The sequence below is a fragment of the Homo sapiens genome, chromosome 14, assembly GCF_000001405.40.
Source record: "Homo sapiens chromosome 14, GRCh38.p14 Primary Assembly".
NCBI lineage: Eukaryota > Metazoa > Chordata > Mammalia > Primates > Hominidae > Homo > Homo sapiens.
The window spans coordinates 66,907,632-66,923,244 of NC_000014.9; the positions used below are offsets into that span (position 1 = coordinate 66,907,632).

At 35.3% G+C, this 15,613-nt stretch overlaps 1 protein-coding gene across 20 annotated transcripts in view; it reads left to right on the plus strand.

Moving 5' to 3' along the window:
* GPHN (gephyrin) overlaps positions 1–15,613 on the plus strand; it is a 1,227,209-nt gene that overhangs the window by 399,485 nt on the left and 812,111 nt on the right. For all 20 annotated transcript variants that reach the window (XM_047430879.1, XM_011536340.4, XM_017020913.3 and 17 more), the window contains 2 exons: positions 8,372–8,438; positions 15,035–15,307. In XM_047430879.1, the coding sequence (XP_047286835.1) occupies positions 8,372–8,438; positions 15,035–15,307 (340 nt within the window). The remainder of the gene's footprint in view (positions 1–8,371; positions 8,439–15,034; positions 15,308–15,613) is intronic.

Here is a 15,613-nt window from a genome sequence, read left to right on the forward strand (position 1 = left end):
AAATAAATAAAACAACCTCATGGAAGCGGGTGGAGGGGAAAAGTACTGACCTAAATAACTTTGGATATGAGTGGAGTCTGTAAGACTAAAGGTAAAAGCAACTGCACATAAGCGCTTTAGTTGATAAAGTTGTATCCCATGGAGGTATGGGTTAACAATTCTAATTTTAATATATATGTATACTGGAATTGAACAGTTAATAAATGGATGGCAGGTAGTGAGACAGGTTTCTCACTGTCACAGTGGGAAATCACATATGTACAAGCAAGGGGAAGAGGCTAGAATGATCCATGTGATCCTAGGTAATGAATTAGAGTTGGAGACATCAGTATGAACTCATATCTAGCTTTAACATAGATACAAATGGTTACATACAGAAATATTTGTTTTATATATATATATATGCACACACAGGTTAGTTTACACACGTATTCCTTTGCTTTGTCAGCAGAGAGGGTCTAAAATAAATGACATATCAATATGAAATGATATAATTAATGCTGAAATCTTAGTTTTTATTACCATTTGGCAATAAAAGGAGCCTGGGTTCCTTGGAGAAGTGGCTGATTCTGGGACCAAGGCAGGAAATATACAAGATGAACCTGGTATATCTCGTAGTGCTTAAAAGTAAGGAAGCACTCAAGAAAACAAACTACAACAAAACACACATTGGCGGGTATATATTAAAGGGGCATAGGAGTCAATTGACATCTCCCGATGACCAAAGATGTAAAAATGTGAGCAACAAAATAAGCAACAAGCAGTATCTTATTATAATCCAAAGTATAAAATAAACATCCATGACTCCATGCTTATACAAATAACTTTTTGCACAAATTAATTCATGAGGGAGAAGAGACAAATGTCCTGTGCATATAATTTCCAAATAATTTATATAGATGCTCCACCCTCAAGGAAGGGGCACATAACTCCTCACTTCTTAGGCATGGGCTACATACAGTGACTTCCTTCCAAAGAGTACAGAACTGGGGTCAGGTTGGGGAAGAGTAACTTTGCTATGGGGAGCACCTGACAAATACCTCAGCTAAGAGATCAAGATCAGTATCAACATTCATTAGTCAGATTGATAGCATATACCTGTGATATGATGTAATAAAAATGGCTGTATATCTCTATAGTCTTCTTCCAAAAATCCCATAACCCTAATCTTATCATCAGAAAATATCAGACAGACACCAGAAGTGGGCATTCTGCAAAAAAAAAAAAAACTGACCAGCACTTACCAAAGCTATCAAGGTCATCAAAAACAAGGAAAGCCTGAGCATCTATCACTGCCAAGAAAAGCATAAGGAGACATGACAGCTAAATGTAATTTGGTAATCTGAATGGGATCCTGAAACAGAAAAAGGGTATTAAGTACAAAGTAAGAAGCATGAATAAACTGTGGGCTTTAGTTAATAATAATGTGTCAATATTGGCTCATTAATTGCCACAAAGGTTCCATAATAATACAAGATGTTAAATGTAGGGGAAACATGGTACAGAGAATATGGGAACTCCCTATACTATCTTCTGCATTTTTCTGTAAATCCAAAACTGTTCTTAAAAATGAAGTCAATTTAATCAAATAATAACGGGATATTCTATACAACTGTCAAGGAGCAAATGATTTCAATATTATTTAAATTGTTCCTGAGTGTAGTAAAACGTAAACATTTCTCAATTCATGTTATGAGTCTGGGATAATCTTATTACAAAACTAGAAAATGATAGTAGAAAAAAGGGAAAATGTAGGTGAATATTCATTGTGAACATGGATGTGAAAACTTCAAAAATAAGATACTAACATATCAAATCTAAAAGTATATTTTTAAAAGATACATCAGGATAAAGATGGATTTATTTCAAGGACACAAAGATGGTTAACTGATTAACATGAATCACTGCATTAACAGATTAAGGGAGAAAAGTCATATGACCTTCTCAATTGATGCAGAAAAAGCATTTGATAAAATTCCAAACCTGTTTATGAATAACGACTCTTAGCAAGCAATGATTCGAAGGGAACTTCCTTAATTTGACAAAGCAAATATAGTTAATAATTAGATATTGTTAGTATTCTCTTTAAAGTTAGGAATAAGACAGAGTCCAAGTATACTTCTGTCCAATATTGTACAAAGTAAAAAAAAAATGATACAAGCATTGAAAAGGACAAGTAATCTCCCATGATTACTACATGGGAATTATTAAAAAATCAGTAGTCTTTTAGAAGTAATGGAAGAGTTCATCAAGTTTGTTGGATAGAAGATCAGGATACATCAGTTGCTGTCCTATAAACCCAAGGTGTATTTTTTAAAGGGACCAAATTTCATATTTACTGTTTATTTCATGATGTAGAGATTGTAACTGTAACAGTTTCTGAGCATTCCTCATTTCATCAAAATGGATTTAATAAATGTCTAACTGGTGAAGATACTGTATTAGGTGCTATACAATAGGTTCTATGCAGAATCGACCCTCTAGAAGTTTATAATTTTGGGGCACCCTGCACTAACAGACGGAAATACACTAACTGCAGAACAGAAATAATAAGCCAGTACATATATGAACACTAAAATGTTTAGATTTAAGTTTAAAATTACAAATAAAGAGACTTTATCTCAACCTTTTTATTGTGAAAAATTTCAAACATATACCAAATTGAAAGAATTTTACAGTGAATACTTAAGATTCTACTATTAACATTTTATTGTAGTTGCTTTATATCTGTCATCTATTCGGCCAAAAGAAATTAAAAAAGAAAAACACTGACAACATCTAGCATTGTCAGGAGAAGCAGCAACAGTGTGTTGATAGGAATGTAAATTGGTACAAACACTATGGAAAATTACTTTTATACAGTAAAACTGCACATCTGCTTATTCCTGTGACTCATAAAATCTGCTTCTAGCTATTTACCCTAGAACATTAGCTTTCAAATGTTTTTGACCATAAGCCACAGTAAGAAATGTACTTAACATTGTAATTCAGTACACACACACATATGTATATATATGTCTCTATGTATGTGGGTATGCATATATGCATATATATCTACATAAACAATATGCACACACATACATATACAAAAGGCACAAACTTTTCTGAGTCAATATTTATCCTAACTTCCAGGAAAGCATTCTGATATTTTCTGTTCTGTTCTTTTTTAAAAAATGCTAGTTATGGCAACTGAAGTCAGTTTACTGCCCTGTTAATTGGTCGTGACCTACAATTTGAAGAACACTGTCCTAGAGAAAGCTGTGCACATATGTAATATTGTGCAGCATTGAAAATGAACTATAGCTATGCATATCAGCATGGAGGAGTTTCACAAACACAGTGTTGAGTGAGAAAACCAAGTTGTATAAGAATATGCACAGTATGATTTCATTTGTATATAAATTTCAAAAGCATGCTAAAATGAAAATATATTTAGATAAACATATGTGGAAAAGTTTTTTTTAAGTGAATGATTTATATAAGCACCACATGGATGAACCTTGAAAACATGTTAAGTAAAAGAAGCAAGTCACAAAAGGTGACATATTATATGTTTCCCTTTATATGAAATGTCTAGAATAGGCAAGTCTGTATGGACAGAAAATAGCTTAGTGAATGCCTAGGGCTGGGAGTTGCAAGAAAATGTGGAATGACTGCTAATGGGTATGGGATTTTTTTGTGGAGGGTGATGAAAATGTTCTAAAATGGATTACCAGGATGATTGTACAACTCTGAGAATATACTTTAAAAACTATTGAATTGTATCCTTTAAATGGGTAAGTTGTATGGTATATGAATTTTATATTGATAGAGCTGTTTTACAAAAAAGTAAGAATGTTTTAAAATTCAGGATAATAGTTATTTGGAGAAGAAGGGACTTGAGATCAAGTCAAGGCACGCAGTACTCTTTGAAAGTATCAGTGATAGTCTATTGCTTCACCTAGGTAGTAGGCACATCAGTGGGATTTTTATTGTTATTGTCTGTTTTATACACGTCATACCTTGTTGTGTATTTAATATTTAACAGAAATTTTAAGAGAAGCAATATTTTTCATATTCTTCTATTCTCATGCCTGTTGTGATCAAGTTTAACATAGAATATTGAACTTCTAGTGTAAATCTAGATTAGGACCAGTTTTCATCCAAATATGTCCTGTTTTTAAAAATTACTCTTTTTGTATTAAACTTTCAAAAAAATTGGAATAAAAAGGTAACTATCCCATTATATAGTCTGTGGGTCAGAATATTCTTAACTATAACCTGTTCGCTTTTCTTCATCACCTTTGCAACCACCCTAATTCACCTGTTACATTTTTCGACATTCTCTTAACTGTATTCCTTGCTTCCTTTCTTGCACCTCTCCAAACAACTTTCTACTTTGCAGCCAGAAATATCTTTTGAAAATACAGATATTAGTATGTTATTTCTCTGCTCAAAATTTTTTAGCAAAATCTCACTCTCCACTGTAGATAAAGACTGAATTCTTTAAGATTACTTTCCAGGGCCTATATATAATTTGTCACTGCTGCTTTTTGCATCAGCTTCCACCCACACTTGTTGTTGTTTTTACCACACATATCAGGTTCTATTGTTAGCTTCTGAGTACTTTGTACATGCCCTTTTCTCTGCCTTGAATGTTCTTCCTTCTCTCTTTACCTCTGTAACAACTACCAGTTCTTCAGGCAGAAGCTTAGATTTTTTCCTTCCTTATAGAAGCCTTCTCTTAACTACCCCTACCCTTCCTTACCTAAGACTAAAATGCCCTTCCTATTGTTCCCAAAGGATTTTTGCTTAATATACATTTACATTTATTTAAAATATGCTTTATATTTTATATACATAAACAAAAACAATGCGCTATGTAACATGCTGAATCAGATACATGAGAGAAAATAAACTAAGAATGAGTCAACTCGTATTTAGTGTTTTTTGTTATCAGACTTTCTTTTCTTTATATCTTCTGTCATCCCCTTTCAGTTCATCTTAGACTATTATTCCTGAAATAGTGCTTGGTAATATTAGTAATAGCAGAATCCATGTATCATCTCCAATGCCTTAAGAATACATTCTAGCTCTTTACAGTGAATTCATGACTTCTACTGTCTTAATTCTAATGTACTTTTTAAGGAAAGATGGACCAAATATTTATTTAATGCCTATTATGTACTAGATTATACTGTACCTTATATTTCAAAGATTATGTTAACCCTTTTAACAACTCAGGTTATGGAAACTAAGGATTAAAGAAGTTTAGTAATGAAGACAGGATTACACTAATAGTAAATAGTAGTACCAAAACTCAAGCACAGTTTATCACAGCAGTTCTCAAACTTTTCCATGGATGAGAGTCAACTAGAGAACTTGTTAAGATACAGATTACTGGACCCCACCCTCATAGTTTTTTATCCAATATATCAGCAACAGAGAGGAGGGGATAAGGGTGGTATGGGACATTTTGCCTTTCCAACAAATTCCTGTATGATGCATATGTTTCTGGTCCAGAGACCACAAATTGAAAAATACTAATCTGTCAGACAGCAACATCTTTCCACTGGTCCTTCTTAGCCTCATATTACTCCTCTATAAGTAAGCAAGTGGATGCTTGCTGGTGAGAGACAATATACTCAAAATGCACTTGGTGCTTTTTTTAACTCTATGCTTTTGCATTATTTTTCCCCTCCTCCTAAACTGCCCTTCTTTTTGATTTTTGTTTTGTTTTGTTTTTTTGAGACGAAGTCTTACTACTGTCACCCAGGCTGGAGTGCAATGGCACAATCTCTGCTCATTGCAACCTCCGCCTCCCAGATTCAAGCGATTCTTCTGCCTCAGGCTCCTGAGTAGCTAGGATTACAGGAACCTGCTACCACACCCGGCTAATTTTTTGTATTTTTAGTAGAGACAGGGTTTCACTATATTGGCCAGGCTGGTCTCGAACTCTGACCTTGTGATCCTCCCACCTCGGCTTCCCAAAGTGCTGGGATTACAGGCATGAGCCACCACACTGGCTACTTTTTTTTAACCTATGGTACTTTATACCAATTTGTGTTACTACTTACTATCTTGTGTTGTAGTTGTTTATATGCTTTAATGTTCTACATTTTACAATTATAAACTTCTTAAGCATTTGGGTTGCATTTATTCCATAATACTTAGTACAGATCTTTAGCTATTTGATAAATATTGGAATATGCTAAAACTTTGGTGCTTATAGTTTTTAAATTATTGAATGATATAATGTTTGTAAAAATACTTTATTAATCCTAAAGCATTATATAGAGGAGGAGTACTTTCTTCTTGCAGTGACTCTGGACATTCTATAGATGAAAAAGTATGTCTTAAAATTAATTTTTAAACACTTCAAAGAGATCAGGGAAATGAGAAAGAATACATAAATCTCTGATGTAATGTTTTGACAAAATAGTAAAAAAAAAAATTGATGGGAAATAACAAATGTAATCTCCTGGCTGTATAGAAACCTTTAATTATATCACATATGCATACATACACACACACAGAAAAATAGTGGTCTGGATGTAACTGTTGGTTATATTAGCACTGCTACTAAGGTGTCAACCTAGAGCAAGTGAAGTATTATTGGAGACATAAAAAGCCTGGATTTGATTACCAAAAATTGGAATAAAAAGAATTAACTAAGTTTTCACTTGCCACTAACCTTCTAATGGAGGGAGTTACAACATTCTTGGAAAATAAAATCCAACACATTTCATAACGTGATAAAATTGTTACAGTGATGTCAGTAAGGATAAGTTAATGGACATTAATAAACACAAGATGGAATGAACTTACTGGATAAAATTACAAAAATCCCAGAGCTATGTATTAATCAAATTCTTTGTACTCCAAATTATTTTTCCATATTTTGTAGGTAACTATATTTGTCTTTCCTTCATAGAAATATTGGGAGGATAATATGCAGTAATTGTTATGGTAATATTTCTAGTTTTTAGAAGGAAAGGTGCTACAAACTTCCGGATGTAGCTAATACTATATTCTACGAGGGATTATTGTGCTCTTAGTTAAAATTCTAGATTTATTCAATAAATTGCTAGATTTGCTTACATGAAAATAGAGAACTTAATATTGATGACATTCCAATCATATTACTGGTGATATTATAATCAATTAGCTATCATATTGACAAAAAGCTAAAATGTAGCATTTTAGTTTGGAAAGAAAAACAAAATTCCTAAGTAAACAGGAACATATTAAGAACTATATAATTACCCAGTGCCATTTTGTCACTAAAGTACTTTATCCAATTCTGACTGCCAGAACTAAAACAGATTTTGAAGAAATATCATTAAGATTAAAGGTCAGAAAATAGCCTTAAAGTTTTTAATGAAATAATGAATAGTTTTTCTAGTAAGAAGAAGGCCAGCAGGTGATTCAGTAAACATTTTCAGATATATGGAAAGTTGTAAATAAATGGCAATCTTCTCTTTCAGATTGTAAGTAGGACAAGAAGAAAAAGTAATAAAATATAGGACAGTTTTAGGTTATTTCAGAGAATAAGAGTGGTTAAAGAAAAACTCAGTCAAGACATTTGGGGAAGAGTGTTCTTACATTACTTTAAAAATACTGTAAAATTTTAAAAATAGCATAATCTCTTTGTTTTCAAATTATGAAAATGAGATAATGTTACCAGATCAGAGTAACACAACCAGTCAATGACAGCATAATTCCAGCTCTCATATGAAAATCTAGGCCTTTGCTCCTTGACTCCAGTCTTCCACTGCTTTTCCATTTTTTTATGTTTCTTAACCAGTTAGTTTAAATGTAGCCTGGAAATTGACAATTATCTCTGAAAGATGTTTCTAGCTTAAAATGCCTGTGATTATCAGTGGGTCTATTAATGAATGAGCTCTCCAACCTCTTCCCTTCTGCCATTCACTTGTGAAAAACCTTGTTTTACTTTAAAACTTATAGACTTCCTGAGAAGCAAGAGCTCAAATCTAAATCTTAAGTGCTTTTTGTGTTAGACTTTTGAACATAAATATCACTAGGCATTTTTAATGCACTATCTCAAACTCTTAAACAATTGTATAAAATATGAAGAAGCTGAAGTTAGACAAAATAGGTAATTAGACTTGGTCAGATTGCTTAAAAGTAGGTAAATTATTCTGATTCCACATTCAGTACATTTTTTCCAATTTGCCATACTAACCATAATGTAAAAACTTCAACCAGAATGCCTAATTTGTATAGCAAGCAGTGAATGTCTTAAGATAACACTTTTATTCCTAAAACAGTTGTTCACATGTAAAGTAAAATGATTGTTATTTGTTCTTAATGTATTTAAACCGGGCATTCATAGCAATTTAGTGTTCATCTACTTTCTCTTTTCTTTCAGGCCTGTATGTGGAATCAGAGGGAAAACGCTCATAATTAACCTGCCAGGTAGCAAGAAAGGATCTCAGGTAAATCACCTGGACATATTAATGGTTTAGTGTAAGAGCTTTTGACCAGCCGTGAAAGTTAGCCAGCCAAAAAGTTGGAGCACTCCACAAGACTGCCCTCACATCTGATACCAATTGCAGGATTCCCAAAGTCACTCTTGGGTTCAGTAATTCAATGGAAAGACATAGAACTCACTAAAAACTGTTACACTTACAGTTATGGTTTATTATGGGGAAAGGATACAGATTAAAATCAGCCAAGAGAAGAAGTGCATAAGACAACGTCCAGGAATACTACCAAACACAGAGAGCTTCCCTTGTCCTCTCCTTGTAGAGTCATCAATGCTTTACTCTCCTGGCATTCGTGTATGATAATATACTTGTAATATTTTTAATCAGAGAAGCTCACCTGAGTTTTTGATGTCCAGAGTTTTTTTTTTTTTTTTTGGTTTGGTTTTTTTTTTTGTTTTGTTTTGTTTTTTTTGCAGTTCATTATATTTTGCCCATGTGAATGACCTTTAGTCTTTAGCGCTTCCCAGAGATTGGATTGATAGCATTAGTCTCCAGTATGTTCCAGAACTGACACCATGTGGCCAAAAGTCCCCATCATAAGTCATATTGTTAGATTGTGTGGTGGCCAAAGCCATCAGGTAAACAAAGACACTGCTGTCACACATGACATTCTGAACATCTAGAGATCTCCTCCAACTAGTTAAGGGCAACTACTTTTACCCTCAGACTCTCTTTGGGTACTGTTAATTCTTTGCTGTACAAGCTACCCCCTGGCCTTTGGCCAAGGCTTTTTTTATTGTATAGCAACACAGTCATGTTTGTCTGGGCATCTATATTTACTATGGTATTTATGTGACAGACACAGCAGTAGTATCAGTGTGAATATGCCTAAGATTTGGCCAAGGCAGTGTAGGGTGTGGATATATTTAGAGAAATAGCTAATCCATCCACTAAAGCCATTACATACATTTTCATAATTTTGTATTAAGTTACTAATTTCTCACCTTTAATCTACCACTATTGATATGTTTGTACAGAACTATATATCATAGAAATTAGCTGATGGTTACCTAAGTGCATTTCTTCCTCAGGCCAGTCATTTTCTATTAACATTATATCCTGAGGAGGCTTTAACTGAATTTCCCAATACACTTAGCCATAACCTAAAAAATAAAAGTCAAAAGATACTGGCACGTTCTTAGAGTCCTTCTCAGACATTAACAGACCAGAATGTCTCCCAGAATGATGCTACTCAGGTTTGCAGGCTTGTTGGATTCCAAAAATAAGAGTGGTCTCAGCAACATATGACTTCACTCTTTCAAGCATCTGTTACAGTTGAGCTAAGAAACAATGTCATCTCTTGTTCTGAACCTCTTTGGAGATACCAATGCAGTATTATTTCCCTTACTGCATAACCTATCCATTCATTCCTTTACCCTCAGCTACCATTCTTCCTTCTCTCTATTTATACCCAAACTTTTTCACCTTTTAAAGAGTTGTAAGGTTTGGCCACTGTGCTGATTCAGATTGCCGTTGGTAATACTAGTTTAGCAAGTTCCTCCTGCACAGTCTATTCCTATTCATTTAGAGTAGGATTGTATCCCTTACCTTCATTTTAGCTAGCATAGATAACAATAACCAAGAGATTGTGTGTTTAACTTCTTTCTTTATATTTTGCATCTCCTTATGCATCCAGTGAGATAACTTTTTGGGAATTATCTCCATTAACTAATCACAGTAAAGAAGCAATTCCATGCTGTGGTTGACACTGTCTTCACTCAGGGATCAAAGGTTCATCATCCCACACCCTCTCTTCACTTCCTAAGCCATGTATTTCAGTGAGTCAGGGTCTTTCTAGAAAATCTTATTTTTGACACCAACTGTAAGGAGTTTTAGCCAACTGCAAAAAATAGCCACCTACAAATGTGGAGTACTCCACAAAATTGCTCATTTCTGACCCTAATTGCAAATTCAGGAGATCCTAAAATGACCTTCAGGTTTAATAATTTACTAGCATTCATGGAACTCACAGAAAGCTGTTATACTCATGATTATTGTTCATTGCAAGGAAAGAATACGGATTAAAGTCAGCCAAGGGAGAAAGTGCATAGGGCAGAGTCTAACAGAAGTAACAAATGAGGAACTTCTGTTGTCCTCTCTCTTTGGAGACATGGACATGTCACCCTTCTGGCGTCAATCTGTGATACCACACATGGAGTAATGCCAGCTGGGGATGCTCACCTGAGCCTTTGGTATCCAGAGCTTTTATTGGGACTCAAACACTTACTGCCAGTGTGGCTGACCTGTAATCTTTAATCCTAAAGTAGAGAGAAGCAATTGGGGGCCTTCTATGTAGAAAGTGGGGTCAGAAGGCCAAGAAAGGGAGTATGAGTATATATCCAAGTCACTTAGGAACTTTTATGCAGGTGCAAAAAAACTTATGTCAAAGTGGCCACAAGATTATTTAATAGACAGATGAATGAAAGTCCATGTTTACTGCTAGACACGAAAGCTTTGTGTGAAATCTTGAATTAATGGGGAGAGAGGGAGGGTAGCCTATACCTGTCTGTTCTTTTCCTGATCCCTTTCCCTCATTCCTGAACTGCAGTCTAACATTGTTAGACTGTCTCTGGTGCCCAAAGTCCATGGACAACAAAGACATTCCTATTAGGCGTGAAATTCCAAGGACCTAGAGATCACTCCCAGAAGCTGAGTGTAAAGACCAGACCTCTCCTCGGTCAAGGTTAAATTCTTTACCACACAATCTTTAAAGAGTAAACTGATTGAGCCATACAAAGATAGGTCGAAAGATTAAACATCTTTCCCGATATTATGTAACCCTCCAAAAATTTTTAAGATTTTTTTTTTTACATCTTAGATTTTAAGCTATTACTTCAAATGTGAAAGAGAAAGACCTCCACCTCTTCTGCAGCTATAGCTGGCCTTATATTCTGATTTTTAGGTTCTTACCTATTCTCTTTTGGTAATACGTTATAGATAATAGTGAGCACCTCAGCAGCAGATTATATTAACTTTATGCAGTGCTCTTTGCAAGCTTATTTTATATTTTGCTTGCTGTACAATGTTACCTAGCTATACTTTATGATGGTAGTTAGAACTTTAGCTCTCTGGACAAAATAATCTGGTTCTCACCTCGGTTGTTAGTTCTACTGCCCTGCTCTAACTAAAAATATGAAACCTCTTTCCTGCCTTTTTTTAAACAACTTCAGTACCAATAAATCTTTATTCATTGTATTTTCCCAAGAAAAGGAGAAGGGATAGGAAAAGAGTCAGCATGTGTGTTAAAAAAATGATTAGAAGATGGGAAAAGAAGTAGAGAATACAGCAAAATCAACCATCAAATAAACATACCCCAGTGGTGGGGTCACCGAAGCCCAAACGGGCTCAATCTCCTGCAGTTCAAGAATGAGGGGTTGGGATTAGGAAAATAACAGACAGGTACAGGCTACTCTCCCTCCCCATAAATTCAAGATTTCACACAAAGGTTTGGTGTCTAGCAGTAAACACAGAGTTTCATTTGTCTGTCTCCTATTAAACAATCTTGTGGCCACTTTGACATAAGTTTCTTGCATCTGTGTAAAAGTTCCTGAGTGCCTTGGATATAAATATTCATATTCTTTTACTTAGCCTCCTGAGCCCACTTTCTGCATGGAAGGCCCCCAGTTGCTTCTCTCTACTTTTGGATTAAAGATTAAGTAGATTTGGCCAGGCGTTGGGGCTCAGGTCTGTAATCCCAGCACTTTGGGAGGCCGAGGTGGGCCGATCACAAGGTCAGGAGTTCAAGACCAGCCTGGCCAACATGGTGAAACCCCATCTCTACTAAAAATAAAAAAAAACTAGCCAGGCGTGGTGGCAGGCACCTGTAATCCCAGCTACTCAGGACGCTGAGGCAGAGAATTGCTTGAACCCAGGAGGCGGAGGTTGCAGTGAGACAAGATGGCGCCATTGCACTCCAGCCTGGGCGACAGAATGAGACTCCGTCTCAAAACAAACAAACAAAAAAAAATGGTTAACTAGATTTGACCCATCCAAGATACAGCAGTGTCTTAAGTGTTTGGCATGAATCACATCAAGAAATGGTCTTGACTCAGGAGGTTGGGAACAAGGGATGAAGGGCTCCTAGTTTCTTCAGGATTTTTGCATAAATCATTTAAGAGTTGTAGAAATAACGCAAGAATTAAATGTGTGTATGTGAGTATGTAAGTTTTCTCTTGGGGAGGAGGGGATGGAAAAGAGGGTAGTATACAAGTTTTTAGAATGTATTTATTTATTTATTTTTAGAGACAGAGTCTCACTGTGTCACCCTGGCTGGAATGCAGTTACACAATCATAGCTCACTGCAGCCTCAAACTCTTGGGCTTCTTTCCTATCTTTCCTGTCTTTCTCATAATGCATCTTTCAACTACCAAGTTGTATATAGAAATTTTACTTTTTTTAAAATGCAGTGCATGCTTTTTTTTTTTTTAGAGAATGAATCTGATTCTGACCATCCATGCCTGTCCTCAGTCTTATTTTTTTTTATTTTTCCATAAGTTATTGGGGTACAGGTGGTATTTGCTTACATGAGTAAGTTCTTTAGTGGTGATTTGTGAGATCCTGGTGCACCCTTCACCGAGAGGTATACACTGCACCATATTTGTTGTCTTACCCCTCACCCCCCACACTCTTTCCCATAAATTCCCATAAGTCCCCAAAGTTCATTGTGTCATTCCTATGCCTTTGCGTCCTCATAGCTTAGCTCCCACATATCAGTGAAAACATACGATGTTTGGTTTTCCATTTCTGAGTTACTTCACTTAGAATAATAGTCTGTAATCTCATCCAGGTCATTGCAAGTGGTGTTAATTCATTACTTTTTATGGCTGAGTAATATACCATCATATATATATAAAATAGTTTCTTTATCCACTCATTGATTGATGGGCATTTGGGTTGGTTCCACGATTTTGCAATTATGAATTATGCTGCTATAAACATGTGTGTGCAAGTGTCTTTTTTGAATAATGACTTCTTTTCCTCTGGGTAGATACCCAGTAGTGGGATTGCTGGATCAAATGGTAGTTCTACTTTTAGTTCTTTAAGGAATCTCCACAGTTTTCCTTAGTGGTTTCACTAGTTTACATTCCCACCAGCAGTGTAGAAGTGTTCCCTGTTTACCGCATCCATGCCAACATCTACTGTTTTTTGATTATTTGATTATGGCCATTCTTGCAGGAGTAAGGTGGTATTGTATTGCAGTTTTGATTTGCATTTCCCTGATCATTAGTGATGTTGAACATTTTTTCATATGTTTGTTGGCCGTTTGTATATCTTATTTTGAGAATTGTCTGTTCATGTCATTAGCCCACTTTTTGATGGGATTGTTTTTTTTTTTTTTTCTTACTGATTTGTTTGAGTTCGTTGTAGATTCTGGATATTAGCCCTTTGTCAGATGAGTAGATTGTGAAGATTACAAAACACTGCTGAAAGCAATCATAGACGACACAAACAAATGTAAACATATCCCATGCTCACGGATTAGTAGAATCAATAATGTGAAAATGACCATACTGCCAAATGCAATTTTCAAATTCTATGCCATTCCCATCAAAATACCACCATCATTCTTCACAGAGTTAAGAAAAACAATTCTGAAATTCATATGGCACCAAAAAAGAGCCCGCATAGCCAAAGCAAGACTAAGCAAAAAGAACAAATCTGGAGGCATCACATTACGTGATTTCAAACTACACTATAAGGCCATAGTCACCAAAACAGCATGGTACTGGTATAAAAATAGGCACATAGATCAATGGAACAGAATAGAGAACCTAGAAATAAAATCAAAAACTTAGAGCCAACTGATCTTCGACAAAGCAAACAAAAACATAAAGTAGGAAAAGGACACCCTTTTCAACAAAGGGCGCTGGGATAATTGGCTAGCCCTATGTAGGAGAATGAAACTTTATCCTCAACTCTCACCTTATACAAAAATCAACTCAAGATGAATTAAGGACTTAAACCTAAGACCTAAAACTATAAAAATTATAGAAGATAACATTGGAAAAACCCTTCTAGACATTGGCTTAGACAAGGATTTCATGACCAAAAACCCGAAAGCAATTGCAATAAAAACAAAGATAAATAGCTGGGACCTAATTTAAACTAAGGAGCTTTTGCATAGCAAAAGGAATAGTCAGCAGAGTGTATGTTTTTTTTTTTTTTGTCACTGTAACTATTTTTATTACATCACAATAATTAGGAGTAGTACAGTTCATGACAAAAATATTACAAATTTTAGATCATTTCACAGCACATACTCCTATAAACATTTAAAAGTTAATTTCAATTAAAAGAGTGGTCATTTTTAATGTTTCATATGACCAACATTGTAGCACTGTAGTTCCTTAGCTTATGGAGAATGCTATAACATATTTTATGCTTACTTCATGGCATATTGCTAAGACAATGTTTTACATATGATTGATTCTGAGATTGATGGAGGAAAATGCAAATCCAAAATCACGAAACAGTTTGATTGCCACCATCTTATATAATTACAAAAGTGCTTCATCTTAATTTTTTTTTCTTTCTCTTGCATACAGGAATGCTTTCAATTCATACTGCCAGCTCTACCTCATGCCATTGACCTTTTACGTGATGCCATTGTAAAAGTAAAGGAGGTGCATGATGAACTTGAAGATTTGCCTTCCCCACCTCCCCCTCTTTCCCCTCCTCCTACTACCAGCCCCCATAAACAGACAGAAGACAAAGGAGTTCAATGTGAGGAAGAGGAAGAAGAGAAGAAAGACAGTGGTGTTGCTTCAACAGAAGATAGTTCCTCATCACATATAACTGCAGCAGCCATTGCTGCCAAGGTAAGCCTGATGAGAGTTACTCAGAGGCCTAAAGGACCCACAGGTAAATGTACTGGTTTCATCTGTTTTGCATCGCATCCCTCCCTACATTTAATACTTCTTCAGAGAACCCTAAAAAAATAAGTGGGATGTCCATGACACTCCACTACTATGTTTCCTTCTTGATATAGATTCCTTGAAGTCACTGAAGTTAATTCTGAGTTCTGAGGCATTACTGATGAGCTGTTGCCTATTGAAGTAATAGCTACAATGATAAACAACGTGACATTTTAGAACTCTTTGGAGATGTCATTTTTGTGGACATAT